The sequence below is a fragment of the Homo sapiens genome, chromosome 20 (assembly GCF_000001405.40).
Source record: "Homo sapiens chromosome 20, GRCh38.p14 Primary Assembly".
Classification (NCBI taxonomy): Eukaryota; Metazoa; Chordata; class Mammalia; order Primates; family Hominidae; genus Homo; species Homo sapiens.
In genome coordinates this window covers 41,209,459-41,236,018 of record NC_000020.11, presented here as the reverse complement: position 1 = coordinate 41,236,018, position 26,560 = coordinate 41,209,459, and the positions used below count along the sequence as shown (strand labels likewise).

The 26,560-nt window shown below is 39.6% G+C and overlaps 1 protein-coding gene across 25 annotated transcripts in view; it reads left to right on the top strand.

The window, feature by feature from the left end:
• Positions 1 to 26,560, top strand: part of ZHX3 (zinc fingers and homeoboxes 3) — a 139,277-nt gene that overhangs the window by 81,713 nt on the left and 31,004 nt on the right. For 3 of the 25 annotated variants that reach the window (NM_001384315.1, NM_001384323.1, NM_001384324.1), the window contains one exon: positions 22,120 to 22,285. The exons of 21 other annotated variants lie outside the window; for them this stretch is intronic. The gene's annotated coding sequence lies outside the window, so the exon portion shown is untranslated. Of the gene's footprint in view, positions 1 to 22,119; positions 22,286 to 26,560 lie in introns of those variants that run through there. One more of the 25 variants, XM_047440043.1, reaches the window with a different exon arrangement.

Sequence of the window (26,560 nt, the reverse complement as noted above, 5' to 3'; positions counted from 1 at the left end):
TGAATGGGAGTTCACTCATGATTTGGCTCTCTGTTTGTCTGTTATTGGTGTATCGGAATGCTTGTGATTTTTGCACATTGATTTTGTATGCTGAGACTTTGCTGAAGTTGCTTATCAGCTTAAGGAGATTTTGGGCTGAGATGATGGGGTTTTCTAGATATACAATCATGTCATCTGCAAACAGGGACAATTTGACTTCCTCTTTTCCTAATTGAATACCCTTTATTTCCTTCTCCTGCCTGATTGCCCTGGCCAGAACTTCCAACACTATGTTGAATAGGAGTGGTGAGAGAGGGCATTCCTGTCTTGTGCCAGTTTTCAAAGGGAATGCTTCCAGTTTTTGCCATTCAGTATGATATTGGCTGTGGGTTTGTCATAGATAGCTCTTACTATTTTGAGATACGTCCCATCAATACCTAATTTATTGAGAGTTTTTAGCATTAAGGGCTGTTGAATTTTGTCAAAGGCCTTTTCTGCATCTATTGAGATAATCATGTGGTTTTTGTCTTTGGTTCTGTTTATATGATGGATTACATTTATTGATTTGCATATGTTGAACCAGCCTTGCATCCTAGGTATGAAGCCAACTTGGTCATGGTAGATAAGCTTTTTGATGTGCTGCTGGATTCGGTTTGCCAGTATTTTATTGAGGATTTTTGCATCGATGTTCATCAGGGATATTGGTCTAAAATTCTCTTTTTTTATTGTGTCTCTGCCAGGCTTTAGTATCAGGATAATAAAACATGTTTTCTATTCTACCTTTTTCTTGGCCATGTTTTTTAGCTATACACAGCCGGTTTTTTTGTTTGTTTGTTTTGTTGTTGTTGTTTGCCATAGAACCAACATTTTGGCACTACCCCCCACTCCCAGCCATGTGTGCACATACACACACACACACCGAGTTTGCTGCAAGTACAGCATTACAATAATTCAAAATTATAACTGTCTCTCATGGAAAAGAGGCTGCCTGCTGGTTTGGCATGGGGATAAGTGAACTAGCTGAACTATACTCATTTCCTACTAAACAATGTATAGCTGAATGCAAGTGAGAGAGACTTACAAGGACAACCTTGAACTATCTGCCAGTTTGTTCAAAACAAAACCAAAGAAACTTACCAACTCTTGTATTTCATGTCAGCAGTGACAAAGGCTTACTGAGCTCCCCAGTAGGTGCCTGGCCCTGCATGCTGCTTCTAGAATGCCAGCAGGAAGGCCTGGCCGAGCAGCCAGCTGGCTGTGGAGCCCTTATTCTAAGACTATGCTGCCACTTTCTTGTGACACTGGAGTCAAAAGCAAAAAGGGGCTTGCAGCCAGTAACCAAAGGGCTGTATTCAAGCAGTGACCTATTTTTACACTGTAATCGGGTTGGGTTTCCCTTTTTCCCTCGCGAGGCAGTAATCTCAAATTCTTCTGAGTGCTCAAGAAGCCAGTTCCCTGTTACCTTTTTGGCTTAGTTGTTTTTCACTTTGACATAGGTCACTCTTAACTTGAGGACAGGAATATCTGTCCCTTTTCCCTGATTTGAGGGTAGGAGTTGGTTTATGTGTATAAAATGGAGAGATAGGAAAACATGAACCAAGGTAAGGAGGATAGATGGCTTCTGAGGAGGAACAAAACCAGGTGAACTAGATAGACAAAGGTATTTGGGATCATAGGTCCAAGGTTCTGCCCTTTCAAACCCTAATCACACATATGAACTAATTACTTAGCTTAGTCATCAAATTTTGCTTGTGCTTCATATGTGCTGAGTGTCAGAGGCGTAGTAATAAAAAGGTAGAACTCTTGCCTCAGCCCACAGTTTTGTGGGGGAGGAATCTTGTACCCACAATTGCAATGCAGTGCCACCAGTGCAACAGGGAAGTTGGGCCCGAGTGAGGCTGTTAGATGTTGCTGGGGAGGGGGCACCAAGAAGGGTATCAGAGGAATTCCTCCTAAGCTTCTTAGTCAGACCCTTTGCTACTCCAGCCTGTCTCGCTTCCATCAGATCAGTGCCTAGTCTGTACTGCGTTTTTTGTTTGCTTGTTTGTTGCCATTTAGGTCTGTGCTATGTACAATCTGCAAGGGTGAGTTCTTCAGGTGGGATTTTCATGTCTCTTCAAGGAGACCTTTGGGACTGGAGGACAGTGTGCCACATGGCTCCATTCTTCAAAAGGTGACATGTCTTGGGACTTTATGCCTAGGATGATACATATTCCTGTCTTGTCTGCCTGGACAACTTCTTTTCATCCTTTAAGACTTGTTTTTAGCATAAGTCCTGCTCTCACAGGATGTAAGTTCTGTTCTGATGTCCTGATAGTTCTTGTCCGGTCTCTCCATTGCCTTTTTCCTCTGTTCTTGGCATGTAGAGCCTTGAGCTTCAACTCATGCTTCAGCTGATCTATTTACACCCGTATCTATCCATGTTCCCCTACTGCACTGTGAATCTCAGACACAGGGCATATGTTTTATTCACCTAGGACATACCAGTTGCTTAGCAATGGTGAGTCACATGAAGGAAGTATGTGTGTCATGTGAATGAAGTTCCCATCTGGCAACAAGATGGCTAAAGATACTGAGAGGGCTGCAAAAGATTCTTGATTGGGTCTCAAACTTTTTGAGCTCATTGAATGTCTTTTGTACTTAAAAGGATATTAGGAAGGTTTTGCAGCATAAAGCCTAGGAGGATGTAAAAAGTGGCCGGCTGGGATTTGGCAGACAGAGATCAGTAAAGAAGGGTGTATACACCACAACATAGCAGGGAGAATGTCTAAGGGAACACCCCCATTTAGGTGTTGCTTAACTTTTATATGTAATGTACTCCTGAACACAGGGCAAAATTCACATTATCTGGCAGATGTTATCATGTCTCAGCATTGCATGGTCATGTGCCAGCTAGTTGTATCAGAGTCTGAATTCAGCATTCAAAAGGTGATTGGGAAGAATCCAAGTTTGCTATAGGCAGAAGTTGAGGTTGCTTGTGTAACAGGCTTCCTGGTACCTCCTGGTAACAGGGAGAAATGCATCGCAGGTGCTTGATAAAGATGGATGTAGCGATTAAACGAACCCTAAGACCAGCCTTGTGTAAGTTTCTCCTGACTCTGTCATGGTTTGGAGCTTACATTTTGAAAAATACTGATACATATCAAGAATTTTCCAGCCGGGCGTGGTGGCTCATGCCTGTAATCCCAGCACTTTGGGAGGCCGAGGCGGGGGGATCACGAGGTCAGGAGATCGAGACTATCCTGGCTAACACGGTGAAACCCCGTCTCTACTAAAAATACAAAAAATTAGCCGGGCGAGGTGGTGGGCGCCTGTAGTCCCCCGCGGGAGGCTGAGGCAGGAGAATGGCGTGAACCCGGGAGGCGGAGCTTGCAATGAGCCGAGATTGCGCCACTGCACTCCAGCCTGGGCGACAGCGAGACTCCGTCTCAAAAAAAAAAGAAGAATTTTCCTAGATTAGAAGACAGCTATGTACACCAGAGGGTGCTGTGTTTCAATTTTCATATCTCTTTCTTTTCCACTCCTGTGGTTGTATGCTACGTGATTCATTTGAGGACTAGCCAGTTGAGAATTTGCCCTCAACAAAGGACTGTTGAAGACCTGAACACACCCTACCCACTTGCTGCTTTCCCAGCATAACAGATGAGTTCAGACATGGCTACACCACACACTCCCCAGGTCTGCTTTGCTGTATACTAGTTCTTAACCATTGAGTTCTTTGTTTAAAACTAGACCTTTTTTTTTTTTTTATGCTGCAGCGTAAGTCCATTTTCAATATTCTTTCTCTGGTGAAAATGGAGACCATCTGGTCATCATTCTCTGTGTAATAACAATGATTGAAGATGGTTATTAAGTCACCCTTCGGCCTTTTCTCTTGCCTAGGCAAAATTGTCTTCGTTTCTGTGGCCATTACCCATAAATCTCATTTTCCAACCCTTTAATCATCTTGGTGGCTTCCTTTGAAAACAACTTCAAAGGCTGTTTCACTGCCTCTATTTTGGTGGGGTCTGGGCTGTCAGCGTCTAATGGTACGGAATGTGGTTGTTTTAACCATCTAGTTTCCATAGCTAGTTTCCACATCTCCAGGCCAATCACTATCATTAACCATTAGGAGGTGCTTTACCATCTTTTCACTGTGATATACTTTATAAATATTATTGATTAATGTGTTGCTTTGACTGAATACAAATTTTAGCTTGTGAATAATTTTAGCTGTTGGCTGATAGAATTTTACACCCTTGTTTATGGCATTTGAGGTTCTTTTCTAAGCTATTTGATTCTAAGTGAATATGTTATCTCTTATTAGAGGATATGTTAATTTTCCTGCATTTTATTCATTTATTAACTTAACATCTCTGATTGCCTACCATGTGTCAGGCTCTGTACTAAGGATTGAGGACCCAAAGATGAACAAAACATGGGGCCTAATTCAAAGATTTCACAATCTGGAGAGAAAGTCAGCCACATACAAAAAAATTATAAGGTAGAATGTGCTATAAAAAATGATTTAGGTACAGTGGAAGTTTAGAAAGGCTTCACTAAAGATGTCGTATTTGAATTGGGTCTGAGCATGAATTAGTCTTCAGGTGAGGGAGGGGGTTAAAGAAAACTCTAATGAAGGAACTCTAGTATGTGTGAAGGCAAGGAGGCTGGTGTGTTTAGGTTGCAGCAAACCAAGTACAACCAGGCTTGGACTTGAGTGACTGGAAAGACAGGAAGATGCCATGCTGAGAAAAACTGCCCATGCCAAGCTGAGAAATGTTCAGCAGAAACATAAGGTGAGCTGCATATGTCATTTAAAATGTTCTAGGAGCCACATTTTTAAAAAATCAAAATTAACAAGTCAAAAAATAAAAAGCAATGGGGGGAGATTAAATGCATATTACTAAGTGAAAGAAGCCAATCCAAAAAGGCTACATACCTGTATGATTCCAACTATATGACATTCTGAAAAAGGCAAAACTATAGAGACAGTAAATGATCAGTGGTTGCCAGGAGTTAGGGAGGAGGGAGGGATGAACAGGCAGAGCACAGAAGATTTTTAGAGCAGTAGAACTATTTTGTATGATATTATAATATTGTAGATACATATCATTATAAATTTGTCCAAACCCATAGAATGTACACCAAGAGTGAACTCTAATGTAAACTGTGGACTTTGGGTGATAATGATGTGTCAGTGTAGATTGATCAGTTGTAACAAATGTACCATTCTGGTGGGGAATGTTGATAATGGAGTAGGCTATGCATGTGTGGGGCAGTGGGTATATGGGAAATATCTATACCTTCTGGTCAGTTTTGCTGTGAACTTGATCTAAAAAATAGCCTACTAAGAAACACAAGTCAAATTAATTTTAATAATACATTTTATTTAACCCAATTTATCAGAAATACTAATATTTTAACATGTAATTGATATAAAAGTTATTAACTAGATATTTTACTTTTTTTGGTACTGAGTCTTTGAAATCTGGTCTGTATTTTACATTTACAGTACATCTCAATTCACATTAGCCACATTTCAGATACTCAGTACATACATGAGTACCTATGGCTAGTGGCTGCTGTGTTGGACAGGGCAGGTCTTGAAACCTGGACTTGCCTGACTCAGAAGCCTCAATTCTCAGCCACAGTGATATCCTGCTCCCTAAGTACTATAATGATAAACACAAGAGGAGAGGAGCTTTCAGATGATCATCTAATCCCATGACGTTAGCTGTTGCTCTCCACACTGCCCGGTGGCTCCAGTCTGAAGCATCTAGGCAGTGCTGTCCAACAGAAATACAATGAGAGCCAATACGTGATAAGTGTCCTATGGGCCACATTGAAACAGTAAAAAAAAAAAATCTAAGAATATATTTAACCCAATATATGCAAAATATTATTTCAACATCTATTTAATATTAAAAATTGTTAATGAAGGCATATAGACCAATGGAGTAGAATGGAGAGACCAGAAACAAATCCTCACACATAAGGTCAAATGATTTTTTACAAGGATGCCAAGACCTTTCAATGGGAATAGGACAGTCTTTTCAACAAATGGTGCTGAGAAAACTGGCTATCTAATGGAAAATAATAGAGTTGGATCCTTACCTTACACCATATATATAAAAGTTAACTCAAAATGAATCGAAGACCTAAACAAAAGATCTAAAACTATAAAATGCTTAGAAGAAGACAGAGGAGAAAAGCTTCATGACACTTGCAAACCATATATCTAATAAAGGGGTAATATCTAGAACATATAGAGAATTTCTACAACCCAACAAAAACAGCAAAAAACCCCAGACAACCTGATTAAAATGGTCAAAGGACTTGAATAGACATTTATTCAAAGAAGATACACAAATGAATAAGCACATTAAAAATACTCAACGTTAATATAATTAGGCAATACAAATCAAAACCACAGTGAGATACAGCCTCACACCCATTAGGATGGCAACTCTGAAGAAAAAAAAAGAAAATAACAGATATTGCCATGAATGTGGAGAACTCTTGGGAACTCAGTGCACTGTTGGTGGGAATGTAAAATGGTGCAGCTGTTATGGAAAACAGTATGGCAATTCCTCAAGAAATTAAAAATAGAATCACCATGTGATTAAGCAATTCCACTTCTGGGTAGTTACCCAGAAGAGTTGATAGTAGGGACTCAAAGAGATTGTATGTCCATGTTCATAGCAACATTATTCATAATAGGCAAAAGGTAGAAGCAACCCAAGTGTTCATTGATAGATGGATAAAATGTTGTATATACATACAGGGGGATATTATTCAGCCTTTAAAAGGAAGTAAATCCTGACATATAATATGGATGAAACTTGAGGATATTATGCTAAGTTAAATTGATCAGTTATAAAAAGGCAAATACTATATGAGTCCACTTATGTAAAATACCTAGAGTAGCCAAATCTACAGAGACAGAAAGCAGAATGGTAGTTGTCAGGAGTCAGGGGTGGGCAGGAAATGGGAGTTATTGTTTAATGGGTGTAAGGTTTCAGTTTTATAAGGCAAAGAGTTCTGGAGGCAGATGGTGATGATGGTTGTACAACAATGTGACTGTGTTAATACTTAATGCTACTGAACTCTCCACCTAAAAATGATTAAGATGGTAAATTTTATGTTATGTGTATTTTACCACAATTTCTAAAAGTCCCTCTACCAAGAAAAGATGTTAAGTGCTTCCGAGACCATTAACATTTCATGTGGGAAAAGAGAAAAGAGAGATGTGAATAAAGGAAACTAGGAAAAAAATAAGTATGCTTGGAAATCTGGATGTATGGTGCAGTGGACTGAATGTATCTCCTAAAATTCACGTGTTGAAATTTTAATCCCTAATGTGATTGTCTTAGGAGGTGAGGCATTTGGAGGGTAATTAGGTCACTGGGATAGAGCTCTCATGAATGGAACTAGTGGCCTTATAAAAGAGACCCCAGACACTCCCTGGTCCCTTCTGCCATGTGAGGACAGTGGGAAGTTGTCTGTCTATGAGGAAGTAGGCCCTCACCAGACACTGAATATGCCAGCACCTTCATCTTGGACTTCCTGGCCTCAAGAACTGTGAGAAATACATTTCTGTTGTTTATAAGCCATCCAGTCTATGATGTTTTTGTTATAGCACCCCGAACGGACTAAGACAAATGGTGAGAGGTGAAATGAAGATTTAGGAAGTAGACCTAGGCTATATTTTTTATTTGCTTGTTTCGTTTTTTGGAAGGGTGAGTGCCAGGGTCAACGGAGCCAGAAATTTATGCATGTAGTTTTTTAAAACCTGCAGGGATCAATGGCAGTTGGAAGTAATGGATTTGGAACTTGGTAGATAGGTCAGGGCTGGCAAGGGTGATTTGGAAATCTCTTGGGTAGAGGAGATTGCAAAGTCCTGGGCATGAGTTTGCTCCCTTTGGAGAGGTTATAGAGGTGTGGGTCTTAACTTCCTTTGGGTCCTGAGTGGTTTGAGACTTGAAGGAGTAGGAAAGAGCCACTTGACTGATGACCTTGGTGCAAGTGGTTTGGGCAGAAGGAGAGGAAGGAATGGGGCCTGCAATGCACCAAAGATTGATGAGCAAGGAAGTTGAATAAGTGGGACAGAGGCAGTCTGGCATGGGGGAGGGGGAAGATGGGAGAGGCCAGTTAGGGGATCTTTTCTATTTTTATGAGATTTAAGTGGTGTCTCAAGTAATACCACTATGATATACTTGGACTAGAAATTTTCTTGTCCAAGTGTGTCATAGAAACAACCAATAACAAATAACCAGCCAATATGTAATAACAAACCAATATGTAACATTAAAGCAGTCCTTTTGTTTAAAAACAGATAAATAGAACTTTTACCAAATTCATAATGGCAGACACATTACATCAGTTCTTAGATGTATCCATTCTCAGAATATATGACATCAAGAGAAGCTCTTAGAAACTTCTGATTTAGGCTCCTGAAGTCTCATGGAAAGGAAATAAATATGCTAACTATCTTGCAGCGGAAGTTAACTCTTCCCCAGTACTCTCCTGAGTGTATCACTGGTGAGTGTGGGTTCATGCACACTCACTCACATATTGCAGGAGGAAGGCTGAGATGCGAATAGGGAGATATATGTACTTCATTCCTGATAAATAGTTGTTGGAGTTTTATATTTTGCACCATCACAGCCACTCTCATTTTCAGGATTTATGATTGACTTTATTGCGTTTTAGATTAGAGAAGGCTCAGGTACTGAGCACTATTCCTCTCCTTTCCTTTTGCTTCACCTTGATGCTCTAAGGTTTCTCAAAGACAGAACAAGTATCTTCAGAAGCCTCCCAATGCATCTTCCATTTGGCTGTCAACATCTCTGTTCTGCTGCCCCCCACCCCAGGACAATAATGTGAAAATGAAGAGCTCTGGGAAAATACAGAACTTTATTGAGCAAATCCAGTTGGTCCCATTAGTTGGGCAGCATAAGATTGGAAGGGGATTTGCAGAGAAATATCCTGGCTGTAATGATAAGGCTGATCAACCCAGTGAATAGGACTTAATCTTACCTGTCAAGGGAAACTGATACTTCCTGATGAAATATTAACAGCATTCAAAACAGTACTCATAAAGGAAACATTTTAGAAACTGTCCTGGGCCGACTAAGGTAGAGCCATAGCCCTCTATTGTTCCAGGGGGCTTAGACCCTGAGTACCTGCAGCTTCATTCTGCTCAGACCTGGGGCAGTACCCTTCTCTGGATGAGGAACCTAGAGTTCTTCCAACAGAAAGGGATAGGAAAGGTATAATAGCTTCCTTCCCTTTTGGACAAGTAAAATAAATTTTAAATTTGACCTGTTGAATTCACTTGAAAATAGAGGAACCAGGAGGTTATCAGAAAGGACTAGGGAGTGAGCTTGAGAGGAAGATAATTTGATGACAGGATCAAAAAAGGTAAAGACGAATTGATGACTCCTGTGATTTCTGCTGCTCTGCCAGCATCATAGGATTGTGGAGAGCTTAAACAAGAAAAAGTGTATACCCAAAAGAATAAAAAATAAGATCCCAAAGAGATATTTGCACACCCATATTCACTGCAGCATTATTCACAATAACCAAGAGGGGGAAGCAACCTAAATGTCCATCAGTGGATGAATGGATAAATAAAATATGATATATACATATCATGGAATATTACTTAGCCTTAAAATGAAAGGAAATTCTTTTGTTTTTGAAATAGAGTATTGCCCTGTCACCCAGGCTGGAGTTCAGTGGCGCGATCTCAGTTTACTGCAACCTCCACCTCCCGCGTTCATGCCATTCGCCAGCACGCCCGGCTAATTTTTTGTATTTTTAGTAGAGATGGGGTTTCACCATGTTAGCCAAAATGGTTTCGATCTCCTGACCTCATGATCCACCCGCCTCGGCCTCCCAAAGTGCTGGGATTACAGGTGTGAGCCACCGCGCCCAGCCCAAGATAAGTACTTTTTTTAGCTAGCTAGGTTTCTGGTAGTATTAGTAGTGGTAGTAGGATGATGAAAACAGCTTGCTTTTCATTCTCTTCTAGTTGGGCTACATCTTGAAATATAACTTCATTTATATGAGGTAACTAAAGTAGTCAAACTCTTAGAAAGTAGTATGGTAGTTGCCAGGGGCTGGGGGAAGAGAGTAAGGGGAATAGTTATTTGATGGGTATAGTATTTGCATCTTTTGCAAGATTAAAAAGTTCTGGGCATCTGTTGGTCAACAATGTGAATGTGCTTAACACTACCTTACTGTACACTTAAAAATGGTTAAGACAGTCTGGGTGCGGTGGTTCACGCCTGTAATCCCAGCACTTTGGGAGGCCAAGGCAGGCTGATCACCTGAGGTCAGGAGTTCGAGACCAGCCTGGCCAACATGGCGAAACCCTGTCTCTACTAAAAGTACAAAAATTAGCCCTGCGTGGTGGTAGGTGCCTATAATCCCAGCTACTCAGGAGGCTGAGGTAGGAGAATCGCTTGAACCTGGGAGGCGGAGATTGCAGTGAGTCAAGATCACGCCACTGTACTCCAACCTGAGCGACAAGAGTGAGACTCCATCTCAAAAGAAAAAAACAAATGGTTAAGACAATGAATTTTATGTTATGTGTTTTTTATCACAATTTTTTAAAAAGAAAGAAAGGTAGGCTGGGTAAAACAGCTGATGTACCTCTAGCTGTTACAGTTAATTGTCATCCTTCAGTGGCCAGCCTCTGAGTGGGATGTGGTGGTAATTAGAACAGTAGCAGTAGCTGCAGTAACTATGATTTATTGAGTGTTTCCTGTATATCAGACAGCATGCTAAATCATTTTGTGTACTTCCTATCAATTCACCGAATGTCATGTCAGGTCTATGAGGTAGGTATTAATAGCTCCTCATTTTACCAATGAGGAAATGGATTGTGAGGACTTAAGTCATTTGCCCAGGAATACACAGTCCACAGTGTTAGGGCTCTGTCTGATGTTAGAGTCTTAACTCCATTATCAGCTACCGTTTATTCACCCATTCACTCACTGAAAACGATTATTATGTGCCAGACATTGTGCTATATGCTACGGAAACAGTGGATATAGGCCCTGACCTTACTTACAGAGCTTACAGCCTAGCCAAAGTGAAAGACAATAAGCAGGAAAAGAATCAGATGAAGATCCAGACAAATTTTGATAAATGTTATGAAAGAAACAATTAGGATGCTGTGATAGAGAATAATTCAGCTTGGATTTGGGGGAGCCCCCAAAGACATTTAGATAGGATGTTCAGAGAAAGTCTAACATTCCTTTCTTAAGAAGGTAGATTTCAAAGAGGCAAAGGGGAAGATAGCTCAGAAGTCCTCTGTTGGAATTATAAATGAGTGTCTGAAAACGTGTATCCAAATGGCCTTGTGATGAAAGAATCCTAATCCTCCTTAATTCTAGCAGTGTTTCCTTGTCCCACTGGGTCACTTCACCTCAAAGTCCTCCTCTGTGAGGGGGAGAATAGAACTTGTATCTAGCTCAGTTTTTGGTTGTATTAGTCATGGTAATAGGATGATGAAAACACAGCTTCCATTTAATTCTCTTCTGGTTGGGCTACATCTTGAATGCTTTGTTCAGTTCTAATTGCCACATTTTGTGAGAAATGCAGACAAATTAGAATGTATAGAGAGAATGTGCAATGAATTCAGGACACTTAGCTGCAGAAGTAAATACTAAAAGAGGAAATGATCTTCAACTGTGTGAAAAGCTGATATATAGAAAAGAGAGTTGATGCGTCATGTAGTAAAAAGAGTTGATTTATGTCCAAAAGACAAATCTAAAAGCTGGGAACCAGGTCCAACTAAGAAAGGGGCTTTGTAATAAATTGTCATAAATGATAATTAGCTCCCACATTTGGGAGATACTCAGTTGGAGACTGGATAACAGATTGCTGCAGGATTTTTTAATTAGGAAAGAAGTTGGACTGCATATATTGTCCCACTCCTCCATTTTGGGTATTTTTTTTGTTTTGCTTGTTCTTTTATTTATTTATTTTTTGTTTTGTATATTGGATATCTCTAAGTTATTTTTGAACTATGGCTTTATGGCCAGAGGCAAATGCAATATATAATATATAGTTTTAAGTGAAGTGCTCACATGCACCCCTACAGAAGTTACACCAAAAGCTCATCTGTAGCTATTAGAAGTTTGAAATGTAAAGGAGCACTACTTGGTATTTGACCCAGTTACATACTCTGTAAGGACCTCTACTCTGACGCCATTAGCTTCTCACTTTCTCACTTGTTATTTGTAACAACCCATGTATTTTGGGAAATATGCTAACATTTTTTCCACTTATGTATTTATTCAATTTTTAACTTTTTGTTTTGAATACATAGCACATTAACATTGTTCAGAATTTAAAAGGGGCTACAGGGAAAAGCTTCCCTCAAACACATCTCCCTCTTCCCCTCGCCAGGGGCAAACACTATTATTAGTTTCTCACATATTTTTCTCGAGGTATTTCTAGCGTATAATTTTTATTCTGTGCTTTGCTTTTTAAAAAACTTAACATATATCAAGATAGCTTGAAGGTTAATCCATAGCAGCATAAAAAGCACCTCCCTTGTTCTTTTTCACAAGTGTGTTACTCCATTGTATAAGTGTGCCATAATTGATTTGATTATCTCCTGTTGATGAGTGATTAGGTTATTTCCAGTCCTTTGCCATTACCATGCTGATAGTAGATTACCTTATACATGTATGACTTACCATTGTGCAAAGTATATCAGCAGGCTGCCTTCCTAGAGGCAGAATCTGGTGAGTCAGGGAATGAGCTTTTATAATTTTGTTCTTGTTAAATACTTCTTAATAGAAGTCTTACCAATTTTCACTCCAGCAAGCAGTGTATGAGAGTGCCTATTTCTGCAAACCCTTGCCAACTCAGGATATTATTATCCAATGTTTCAAGCCTTTCCAAAGTAAGTGAAAGAAAAATAATCAGAGTAATTTTAATTTGTATTTCTCTTACTGTGAGTGAAATTGAGCATTTTTTCTTGTGTGTAAGATCTTGCTGGACTTTGTAGTGAGGCCATTGAAGAAAATCATCAATACAGACTAAGCCTGGAAGAGGTAAAAGGAACATCTTATCCACAGTGGTCAGCCAGAGAGAATTTTTCTTTCTTTCTTTCTTTTTTTTTTTTTTTTAACAAATGTTCTTGAGAAATTCAAGTGAGCTCACCAGCCTGCAAGCTATTCAGCCTGTAAACTATCTGGCCCACACTGGAAAATTTCAATTAAAACAAAACAAATGTAATCTCAGAAGTAAAACCACATCCAGAACAATTTCTTTTTTACTGTTTAGTTTTAAATTTAATAAAGTAATTTACTTAGTACTTGGAACAACATTTAGGATGCAAGTACATTTAAAGTAACATGTTTAACTTTGAAAGGCGCTGTCTCACACCTCAGAGAGTGCAATTTCTAACTACTTGGCTCTTATAATACCCTAGATTTGGTCCCAGCCTCCCCCCAACCCCCATTTCTGTAGTTTCTCTGTAGATTTGAGCAGCTTTTGGCAAAGACCAGAGTCTTTTCATTGGGAACATTGGCACTACACAGCCTCTTTGCTCATTAGCAGTCTGACCCATTAATTTCCTACAACACTTGTGACCAAACCAGTTCAATCCAGTTTTTCCCCTGGAAAAGGACCTTCTAGTTTTAGCAGCACAGATTTGCTTTGCTTTTTTCACAAAGCTTCCCAGGTTTAAACCTATCTTGGTTGATGGCAACACTATCCTTCTAGTTGCTTAGATCAAAAATCTTGGAGTCATCCTTGATTCCCGTGGCTACAATGTTCACATCCTCCTATCCATTCCTTTAGGAAGTCTTTTCGGCTTTACTTTCAAAACATATCCAGAATCCAGCCACTTCTTCTTACCTCCATCTCTACCATCCTGGTCCATGCTGCTGTCATCTCCTGCCTAGATTGATGTCTGACAAGTTTCCCTACTTCTCCACTGTGTTTTCCTACAGTCTGTTCTCAACATAGCCAGCAGAGCCATGCTGAAGGACACGTGTCGGATGACGCCAACCTTCTGCTCAAAGCCCTCTCTTGGCACTGCCCATTTCAGAGAGACTCAGATCATGGCAGTGGACCTGCATGGATCCCCTCCCTGCCCCCTACCACAGCCTCTTTGACCTTGTCTCATACTACTGTCTCTCTACTACCGCCGCCCAGCTCTGCTGGCCTCCTTGCTGTTCTTTGAACATGTCAGGCACATTCTCACCTCAAGGTCTTTGCACCAGCTGATGCCTGTGCCTGGAGTGTGCTTCCTCACTTACCCAGATGGCTCACTTCCACACCTCTGAGTATTGGCTCCAGTGTCACATTCTCAGTGAGTTCTCTTCTGACCACTGTATATCTAAATTGCAGTCTCACCCCTGCCATGCTCCACATTTCTTCAGCCTTTCACTGCTATGCTTTTCTTCCACTTTTTGCTCTGACACATAATTTCATTTTCTTATTTTATTTATTATCTCTCTCCCCCAAACTAGAATGTAAATTCCAGGAAGGCAGAGATTTCTATCTATTTTTTTTTGTCTTCCCCATATTCTGGCATGTCTGGCATAGAAAAGGCATTTAGTAAACATTTGTTAAATGAATTGACTATCTTTTCTCTGCAAACTTGTTCCTCAAATTCTGCCAAACCTAAATTGAAACAAGCAGGTATTGTATTTTGGTACAAGTCCTGGTGCTGTGGATTAAATCCAAGAGCATTGATCCATATTTTTCAGGGGAATCTCACATTATAAATAATGTGGCATCGTTTGGGTAAAAACTTTTGTGAAAGATTAAATATGACATGAGTAAGTTTAAGGAAGGTGATAAATACGCTCAGACTACATCTGGAGAATTAGATTTAGATTTAGATGCCACTGTTGAGAAGGCTATAGACAAATAAGAGCACATTCAGAGAAGAACAGTGGAGAGTGGTGTGGAGTCTCTGTCCCAGTCACACAAAGTACAGGAACTGAGGATTATTGGTTTAGGGGAAAAGAAGACTTTTAGGGAACATGATTCTTTTTTTCCAAAAAATCACGTTTTTCCAATTGAAAAATGTGTCGGCTGGGCACAGTGGCTATGCCTGTAATCCCAGCACTTTGGGAGGCTAAGGCGGGTGGGTCACTTGAGTCCAGGAGTTCAAGATCAGCCTGGGCAACATGGCGAAACCTCATCTCTACAAAAAAAAAATAGCTGGGCATGGTGGCACGCATCTGTAATACTGGCTACTTGGGAGGCTGAAGCGGGAGGATCACTTGAGTCTGGGAGGTCGAGGCTGCAGAGAGCCGTGATTGTACCACTGCACTCCAGCCTGGGTGATAGAGTAAGACTCTGCCTCAAAACAAAACAAAACAAAAACAAAACAAAACAAAAAAAACCAAAAAAAACTGTATCATATAGAAAGTCAAATATCTTGTTTGTATACCTAGAATCACCTCCTATTCCTGCAACCTGATCCATCACAAGCAGATCCAGCTTTTGTGGAACTTGAACATTAGTAAAGGGGACCCTCCTAAGAAAAAAATCTAAGAATAAAATTATAAAGATATAAAGTTAGATAGAGGCTTTGGAAGGTGCCTGTGCAAGTGAAGTGAGGGTCCCCAAAGCTTCGGCTGTAGTAGCTTCATAGGAAATCTACCACATTCAGATTTGTACAATAGCAAAACTGAATCCTTTCTAGCTCTCCAATCATGCCATGTTTTCTCCTCCCTCTACGGTTTTTGTATAAAGTGTTCCCTTTGTCTAGAACACTCTTTTCTCAACTTATCTACTTGGCAGTATTTATTCATCCTTCGAGCTCTAATCCAAAAGCAACCTCCTCTATGAGGCCTTACCCCAAGTTCCCCGGAAGACAGAGGTGGGTAGAAAGTCTTTTCCTATGCTCCACAGAACTTTGTGCATGCTTCCACTACAACACTCAGCTTATTGTCTGATTGGTGTTGATCATTTTGTTGATGACTTTGTTGATCATTTTGCTGATGATTTTGTTTGTCTGTCTTCAGACTCTGTATCAGTGAGGATGGGCTGCAGTAACAAGCTACTCCAAAAACCTCAGTAGCTTAAAGTGACAAAGGTTATTTCTTGTTCATACTGCATGTACATGGCAGGTCAGCTATTGTTCTTCTTTTAGGACTCAGGCTGATAGAGTAGCCGCCATCTGGAACATAACCAGTTGCAGGCCAGAGAATAAATAGTGAGGCAAAGCCTATACTTTCTCATAAAACTTTTCCCCTGGAGGTGACACATTTGTTCACGTTTCATTGGTTTCACCTAACTTCAGGTAGGCAGGGAAATTCAATGCATCCAGTGGAGGGCAAGGCCCAGAGCCCTGGTGGATAGCTTAATAACCACAACAGACTGTTAGCTTCTTGAGTTATAGGGCTAGCTAGCATCTTTTCAAAAATCCTTGTATACCCAGTGCCTAGCACATAGTAAGTCCTCAACTCTATTTGAGAGAAAAAACAAATTTAGCAAATAAAACTTATAGGAAGGTTTTGTTGTTTTTGGTGCTTACTACAAGGAACCATTTCAAACATCTTTCTAGTGTCAATAAGTGCCAAGCTCCCTATCTTTGGAGATCTTCAGGTATAGGCCATCCTAACCACCTGGTAGTGGTACTTAAGGTAAAATTCATGCAAAGGTGAGTGGTTAGAATATATGATCTCTAAAGTCTCTTTAATTCTGAGGCCTTTGTATTTATATCACAATCACCTTCTGAGCTTGAGAAAGAACAAATTAATGTTTACTTTAGAGGTGATAATATCTGACTAGAGTGGGCTATTTCTGTTGGTGATTAGACAAAAATAAGAGTTGAGGGGGAAGGCCAGGTGCGGTGGCTGACGCTTGTAATCCCAGCACTTTGGGAGGCGGAGGCGTGTGGATCACGAGGTCAGGAGATCGAGACCATGCTCGCTAACACGGTGAAAACCCGTCTCTAATAAAAATACAAAAAATTAGCTGGGCGTGGTGGCAGACACATGTAGTCCCAGCTACTTGGGAGGCTGAGGCAGGAGAGTGGCGTGAACCCGGGAGGTGGAGCTTGCAGTGAGCCGAGATCGCGCCACTGCACTCCAGCCTAGGCGACAGAGCGAGACTCCGTCTCAAAAAAAAAAAAAAAAAAAAAAAACAGCACTGTTTGAGGGGGAAAAACAAGTAGAGAGCTCTAGCCTTGAGCCCTTGGCTGATGGTGATTACTAAATGCAGAAATTATTGTGACCCTTAAGTAACCAGAGGGCAAATTGAGGCCAGCTCTGGGCTTGACATTGCTTTGACATTTGAGGATTTAGACTTGAGTTCTTTGTAACTTTTTTGTTTTCAGCAGAAATCTGACAATTGCAACCAGCACATCCACTTACTGGACTGCCAAGGTCCTGCCCACACACATTCCTGAGGAAGGACAGTTTTCCACATGTTCTTTTTGTTATAGAGTCCTACTGACTTACCGTGGTCTAATCACCAAGCCTCATGTTAAAAGAGTTCTCTATTAATACATAAGAGTAAGCAATACAGACCCTCTTCTGACGGTATAAAAGTGTTATAAATACTAAGGATCATAATAACTGTCAAGCCTTTTTACCATTTATTTATTTATTTATTTATTTATTTAGAGACAGGGTCTTGCTCTGTTGCCCAGGCTAAAGTGCAGTAGCATAATCCCAACTCACTGCAGCTACGACCTCCCAGGCTTAAGCAGTCATCCGCCTCAGCTTCCCAATTAGCTGTGACTACAAGCATGCGTGTCACCATGCCAGCTATTTTTTAAATTTTTTGTAGAGACGGAGTCTCCTTATGTTGCCCAGGCTGTTCTCAAACTCCTGGGCTCAGGCAATCCTGTCTCCTTGGCCTCCCAAAGTGCTGGGATTGCAGGTATGAGCCACTGGTCCAGCCTCTTTTTTCATTTTTAGGAGACAGGGTCTTGCTCTGTTGCCCACATTACTGGAATGCAATGACGGAACCATAGCTCTCACTTCAGCCTCAAACTCCTGGGCTCATGAGATCCTCCCATCTCAGCCTCCCAAGTAGCTAGGACTACATTGTCAAGCCTTTTTAAAGAACAAAACAAAACACTAGAATAGTTCAGGTTGTAAAATCTTCGAACCCTCTGTAAGAAAAAAATGTCAAAATAGTTACAGGTAGTGGATGTATTGTTTAGTTGGTATTCAGAATGAATATAGTCTAAAAGAGAACACTGAATTTAGAATCAGAATATCTGGCTCTGCCAAAAATATGTCGTGTGTGACTGGTCATATCACCTCCCCTTTCTTGCTCGATAGCTCCTCAATACTACAATGAGGGAAGGCCAATAATAACCAATTCAGGAGACTATGAGGATGGATTGAGAAGGATATGGAAGTGCTTTGCAAGCTTTCGTGGACTTTGATGATGAAATTGAAGTGAATTCTGTTTTCTTTTCGGTCATGGAAACTTCCCAGCAAGCCAACTGATTTACTTAGGATTGGCTTGGGCAGCAGTAGGGTGGGTGGCTGCATCTGATTTTTGTTTCCAAGGTCAGCATTTTCCAAAGGAAGGGAAGAGAGAAACATTTAAAACAGAATGTTTTTTAAAAATATAAATTTAAGCTTCATTTATGATACAAGATTTCTTTTTAAAATATGTCTCGAGCTTTTAATTTTTTTTTAATTATGAAAATGTCAAATGTACATAAGAGCATATATATGAGCCATATATATCCCAACCCAACTTGAACAATTATAAGTTCATGGTCAAATTTATTTCATGTATTTCTACCCATCCCTCATTTTTTTCTAGGGGGTTGGGTTTTTCCTCCCAGTAAATCCTATATAACAAATTATTTTACCCATAAATATTCGAGTGTGCATCACCAACTGATTAAGACTTTTGTTTGTAACATAACTGAAATACCATTATCATACATAGCAACATTAACAGTAATTCTTTAATGTCATTTACTGCCTCCTGTGGTAGATGGGCTCCAAAAAATGGAGATGAAACCCCAGTTTCATCTATGACAGGTAAAGAATAGCCCATTTTCTTAATATATGGAGAACACTTGACATCCCATAGGAAAATGGACAAAAGATAATTTTATACAAAATCGTCAATGACATGTGAAAAGATATTCAGCCTTGCTCATAAAGAAATGTAGATTCCAAATACTAGTAATTAGTGTTTTATATATCAAATTAACAAAGACTGAAAATAGCAAGAATATGCAGTGATAGTGAGTGCATCCTCAGTTCTTTGGTGGTAACAGCGAAAATCAGTACAGTTTACTTGAAAGACAATTTTGTATTTTGCTAACAATATTTTAAATGCTACTGCAATTTTACTTGTAAGAAATTCAGTATTTCAGAAATTCTCAAATGTATAAAAATATGTGCAGGGATGGTCACCGAGTCATTGTAATAGTTAAAAACCTGGAGAAATGCAAATGTCTCTTATCAGGAGAATGGTTAAATAAACTATGATGCATCCATAACCTAGAATGCTGAAGTTGTTTAAAAGACTGAGGTAAACTAGAGATGGTGACATGGAAAGATATTGAAATTAAATAATTGTGAGACGAAAACTCAGGGTCAAAATAGGATGTAAAAATACAATTCCATTTTTGGTTTTTTAAAAGAATTAATTATAGTAAGCTATGCCTAGGAAACATGCCTGAAATCATATATACTGCACTGTTAACAATGGTTTATCTCTGGGGGTGAATAGGAAGGATTTTCACTTTTCTTTCTTTCCGAGAGAGAAATTTCCACTTAGAGCATAATTTGAAACAAAGTAAAAAGGATAAATTTCAAAGTAAGTCTTTGTTGCTAGCACTAAATAGTGGAATGCTACCTATGAATTTTTATTTTGGAATGGGTTGAGGTTTATTTATGGTCTGTTATACATCACGAGTAACTTTTAAATGTGTTTCATGGTGTAGAATGTGAAGTCAATTACTATAGAATACTCAAGACTATATTCATGTCTGTCAGATCAACCTCATAGTAGTCACATTCTTTACATCTTTTTTCTTTGTCCACTTGATCTTTAGAATATTATCTTAAAATCTCCCACTATAGTTATGTTTCTGTAATTCTGTCAACTTCTACCATTATTTCCTTTTTTTTTTTTTTTGGACAGTCTCGCTCTGTCGCCCAGGCTGGAGTGCAGTGGCGCCATCTCTGCTCACTGCAAGCTCCGCCTCCTGGGTTCACTCCATTCTCCTGCCTCAGCCTCCTGAGTGGCTGGGACTACAGGCGCCCGCCATAATGCCCAGCTAATTTTTTTGTATTTTTTTTTTTTTTTTTTTTTTAGTAGAGACGTGGTTTCACCGTGTTAGCCAGGATGGTCTCGATCTCCTGACCTTGTGATCCACCCTCCTTGGCCTCCCAAAGTGCTGGGATTACAGGCGTGAGCCACCGCGCCTGGCCTATTTCCGTTTTTAATGATAAATACTGGGTGATATGTTCAAGAGGGCTGCAGGCTGACTATCATAACGCTTGGAAGAGTCTGTCAAGAGTTACTTTCTAAGTATTTGAATTCCTTCATTGAATTCTTACTGTTCTTCCAATTCATTCCTCAGAATTTTTTAAAGTTCCTAATTCAGTCTATAATTTAAAGATAAACACTTTAAGATTTTTATCTAAAAAACTCACATATGTATACTGCAGTGCTGAAATATAGTGGCTATTAACTATAGCTTTGCTAATTTAGTGAATTGAGCAATTACCAATTCCCAAAGACAGATTTTTAAAAAAAGTTATGCACTTTTGTTTTTATTTTTCCATTTATTTATTTTTATTTTTATTTGTATTTATTTATTTTTTGAGACGGAGCCTTACTCTGTGTCCCAGGCTGGAGTGCAGTGGTGCGATCTTGGCTCACTGCAATCTCTGCCTCCTGGGTTCAAGTGATTCTCCTGCCTCAGCTTCCCGATAGCTGGGATTATAGCCACACATCACCACACCTGGCTAATTTATTGTGTTTTTAGTAGAGACGGGGTTTCACCATGTTGTTGGCCAGGCTGGTCTCAAACTCCTGACCTCAAGTGATCCACTCGTTTCGGCCTTCCAAGTGCTGGGATTATAGGTGTGAGCCACTGCTCTGGCCCCATTTAAAGATCCATTTACAAGGCAGAAGGTTTCAAGATGGGGCATGTAAAGGATTGTACAAAAATGACAAAATGCAAACATCACCTGGCCTTTCCTTCTGAATCTCTTTTGGCCGCACCTTACATTTCTATCAGCTCACTTCACTAGGGCTTGACTTAGACAATAGCATGTTTCCACATGGTAGTGCCTCATTTATCAGACATGCTCCATGAGTGTCTTTTGGATGAATGATTTTCTAGATAATTAGAACTTTGCTGTTTAAGCACCATTTTTAACCCCTTTAAAAATACATAACAAATAAACCCAAGCTTACCTAAATGGGTAATGTTGCTAAAAACAGCCACCTTAGTAAGCATCCAGGTGGTGGGGATATGGGTGTTCACTGTCAATCTCTTTCAACTTTGCCATTTGTTTGAACTTTTTCTTAATAAATGCTGGAGGAAAATATTACTTCAAGAGGTCTGTAGCCCTTATTGCAACAATCTGGAGGTTTCTCAGAGAGCTCACTGTGTGGAGTGGTTGAAGTTGCAGGCTCTGGAGCGAGACTGCTTGGGTTCTTATTCAGCTTCTGTCGTCTCCCAGTTGTGTGCGCTCCAGGCAGTCACTGCACTTTTCTGAGCCTTGTCCTTCTTGTCTGTAAAATGAGAATAATTATAGTGCCTTTTCTTGGGTTTATTATGAGTGAAATGAGGGGATGTGTATAAAAGCACTTCCAACAATATGAAACACTCAGTAAACACTGGCTGTGGCTGCCACTGCTGCCACTACTGCTTTTTTGTAATTGCTTATAGTCAATGGTCCATCTACCCAGAACATGGTTAGCAGTGGTACCCTTCTTAGTCATTTATTCGAATGATAATTTAGGGCTAATTTGAGACTTAATTTTTCTTTTTTTAAGAGACAAGGTCATGCTCTGTCATCCTGGCTGGAGTGCAGTGGCATGATCCTTGCTTACTGTAACTCTGAACTCTTGGGCTCAGGTGATCCTCCCACCTCAGCCTCCTGAGTAGCTGAGACTACAGGCACACACCATTGTTCCTGACTAATTTTTTACAATTTCTATGTTGCCCAGGCTAATCCCGAACTCCTGGCCTCAAATGATCTTCCTACCTTGGCTTCCCAAAGTGCTGGGATTACAGACGTGAGCTGCTGTGCCTGGCCAAGACTTAATTTTGAATGACATTGGGACTATTGCCAAAAATCAAATCCATCTTCATGTTGTCCACTTCTCAGCCTTAGTAAGTAAAATACCAGGAACACTATATACCTTTTCCTCAGTGAATCCCAGTCCCCATTACAAATAGCAGTTCTGGCCCTGTGCCTGGAGTGCTTGTGTTGTGTTGCTAGGGCTCTGCAGTTAGCTTCTCCTGAGTTCTGCTGCCTGGCCTTCTGGTGTGCTCATGCTCTTTTTCCTTTGTGTTGTTGCTACTTCCAGGTAGTAGGTCTGCATCTCTCTTCCCTCTCCTCTGGCAAACCTGATGTTCACAGGCACTGCCATTCAGCTTCTCTAGGGCCACAGTAAATATTACCAAGGTGAGTCAGGAAGTAGCACAGAACTGTGTCACCTATATTGAAACCTTAGAAATGTAAATGCTGACCCTCTTCTATAGAACTGAGTGCTATAATTTACTGTCCTCTACCTTTCTTGGTTTCGATGTCCTTCCTGAGGTTTTTATCATATTCAGAGTTGTGCAGCCATCCCCACTATCTAATTTCAGAACAATTTTCATTGCCTGGTGACTCATTAGCAGCCACTCCCCCTTCTCCCCTACTCTCAGTCCCTGGCAACCACTAATCTACTATCTGCCTCTATGGATTTGCCTTTTCTGGATATTTCATATAAATGGGAATCATACAGTATGTGACATTTGTGTCTGACTTCTTTCACTTAGCATCAGGATCATCCATGTTGCAGCATGCATCAGAACTTCATTCCTTTTCATGGCTGAAGAATTCATCGTATGGATATATCATATTTTACTTACCCATTCACCAGCTGATAGATGTTTGGGTTGTTTCCACCTTTTGGCCATTATTTGAATAATGCTGCTGTGAACATTTGTGTACATATTTTGGGGTGGACATGTTTTTATTTATACTGTGTATATACTTAGGAATTAAATTGCTGGTGTTTTGTTTTTTTTGTTTTGTTTTGTTTTTGGTTTTTTTTTTTTGAGACACAGTTTAGCTCTTGTTGCCCAGGCTGGAGTACAATGGCATGATCTTGGCTCACTGCAACCTCCGCCTCCCAGGTTCAAGCAATTCTCCTGCCTCAGCCTCCTGAGTAGCTGGGATTACAGTCATGCACCAACATGCCTGGCTAATTTAGCATTTTTAGTAGAGATGGGGTTTCTCCATGTTGGTCAGGCTGATCTTGAACTCCTGACCTCTGGTGATCCGCCCGCCTTGGCCTCCCAAAGTGCTAGGATTACAGGTGTGAGCCACTGCGCCCGGCCAAATTGCTGGATCTTATGGCAACTCTATATTTAACATTTTGTTTGCCAAACAGTTTTCCAAAGTGGCTATACCATTTTACATTTTCATCAGCAATACGTGAGGGCTCCAGTTTCTCTGCATCCTCATCTATACTTGTTATCTGTCGCTGTAATTACAGCCATCTTGGTGGGTGTGAAGTGGTATCTCATTGTGGTTTTGATTTGTGTTTTCCTAATAACTAATGATGTTGAGCAGTTTTTTATGTGCTTTACTGGCCATTTGTATATCTTCTTTGGAGAAGTGTCTATTCAAATCCTTTACCCGTTTAAAAATTATCTTTCTATGGTTGAGTTGTAAGTTATTTATATAATCTGGATATACTTTACCAGATAGATGATTTGCAAACCTTTTCTTTCTGTGGATTGTCTATCTTTTCACTTTCTTGATGGTGACCTTTGAAGAATGCAAGTTTTTAATTTTGATGACATCCAATTTATCTGTTTTTTCTTTTGTCGTTTGTGCTTTCAGATATTCTACTTGATGTCTTCCATAACTTGTCTGAAAATCTGATTTGCTCACTGGGTCCATAACTGTATTATTTTTAGTTTCCCTGATTTGGGATCATAAAGCACTTGATTTAAAATGTTTGCCAATGATATATACAAAGGAGCTTAGAAATGTTGATGCTCTTTGAGATGGTAAGCCCATTCCTGTGCACTTAACCTCAGGAAATAATTTGATAGAAGAAAAACATCCTGTATGCCCAGAGATGTTTGTTTCACTGTCACCCATGAGATTGGCATGCTTTTCAACAGCAGGGGTGGATAAGTCAAATTCATTGTGGTACATTATTAGGTAGCTATTAAATGTTAAACTTATGAAGCTTGTGTAACAAAAAGGTTTATAACGTAATGTTTGGTGAAAAAAGCACAAATGTGTGCTCATTGTGATAAAAATATGAATAAAATATCTGGACTAAATGAGAAGGTATACCAAATTATAGACATTAAATTTATTTAAATTACATTTTATCTTTATAATTAAAAATTAAGTAAAAAAGTGTGCATGCCAGTTCAAATTGGTGGGGGAAGGGGTGAGAAGTTGTTAGAGTGGGTTTATGTTTACCCTCACCTTCAAAGTTTTAAAAATTATTTTCATCATAAAATAGCCGTGTTTATTTACTGAGAATTTGAATAGAGATATTTTAATTTTCTTTACATCTTTGTATCAAATCCAAATACTGATAACTTGATTTTAGTATTAGAATTACTATTGTTTTAGTCATTAGAGCATTATGATTTGCTAAAACGAAAAGTAATAATGATGATTATCATTCTATATTAGTAATAGGGCTCACAGAATCCCTTTTCTCATGGCATCCTGTGAAACAATTATTATTATTATTTCTTTTTGAGTTATCAACTGTTTAATTTCGGTCTTTTATATATAAAACCATTGGTTTTGTTTTCAGGTTAGTTTTCTGCCTTAGCTGTTTTCTTTCTTAGCATTTTAAAAGTGTGAAGTCAATCTATTTTATTAAAAGTTCAATACATCTAAATTCACAGGTAAGGGATGTTATGTAATGTCTGGATAGTGTAATGATTATTTGTTTCTGGTTTCCTCTTCTTTCTTCTTTCCTTTCTTTTAAAAAAATACTTAAAAGCATATGTGAAGATTACTTATAATTCTTTTTTAAATTATACTTTAAGTTTTAGGGTACATGTGCACAACATGCAGGTTTGTTACATAGGTATACATGTGCCATGTTGGTGTGCTGCACTCGTTAACTTGTCATTTACATTAGGTATATCTCCTAATGCTGTCCCTCTCCCCACCCCACGACAGGCCGTGGTGTGTGATGTTCCCCACCCTGTGTCCAAGTATTCTCATTGTTCAGTTCCCACCTATGAGTGAGAACATGTGGTGTTTGGTTTTCTGTCCTTGTGATAGTTTGCTCAGAATGATGGTTTCTAGCTTCATCCATGTCCCTACAAAGGACATGAACTCATCATTTTTTATGGCTGCATAGTATTCCATGGTGTATATGTGCCACATTTTCTTAATCCAGTCTATCATTGATGGACATTTGGGTTGGTTCCAAGTCTTTGCTATTGTGAATAGTGCCGCAATAAACATACGTGTGCATGTGTCTTTATAGCAGCATGATTTATAATCCTTTGGGTATATGCCCAGTAATGGGATGGCTGGGTCAAATGGTATTTCTAGTTCTAGATCCTTGACGAATGGCCACACTGTCTTCCACAATGGTTGAACTAGTTTACAGTCCCACCAACAGTGTAAAAGTGTTCCTATTTCTCCACATCCTCTCCAGCACCTGTTGTTTCCTGACATTTTAATGGTCGCCATTCTAACTGGTGTGAGATGGTATCTCATTGTGATTTTGATTTGCATTTCTCTGATGGCCAGTGATGATGAGCATTTTTTCATGTGTCTTTTGGCTGCATAAATGTCTTCTTTTGAGAAGTGTCTGTTCATATCCTTTGTGCACTTGTTGATGGGGTTCTTTGATGTTTTTCTTGTAAATTTGTTTAAGTGCTTTGTAGATTCTGGATATTAGCCCTTTGTCAGATGGGTAGATTGCAAAAATTTTCTCCCATTCTGTAGGTTGCCTGTTCACTCTGATGGTGGTTTCTTTCGCTTTGCAGAAGCTCTTTAGTTTAATTAGATCCCATTTGTCAATTTTGTCTTTTGTTGCCATTGCTTTTGGTGTTTTAGACATGAAGTCCTTGCCCATGCCTATGTCCTGAATGGTATTGCCTAGGTTTTCTCCTAGGGTTTTTATGGTTTTAGGTCTAACATTTAAGTCTTTAATCCATCTCGAATTAATTTTTGTATAAGGTGTAAGGAAGGGATCCAGTTTCAGCTTTCTGCATATGGCTAGCCAGTTTTCCCAGCACCATTTATTAAATAGGGAATCCTTTCCCCATTTCTTGTTTTTGTCAAGTTTGTCAAAGATCACATGGTTGTAGATGTGTGGTATTATTTCCGAGGGCTCTGTTCTGTTCCATTGGTCTACATCTCTGTTTTGGTACCAGTACCATGCTGTTTTGGTTACT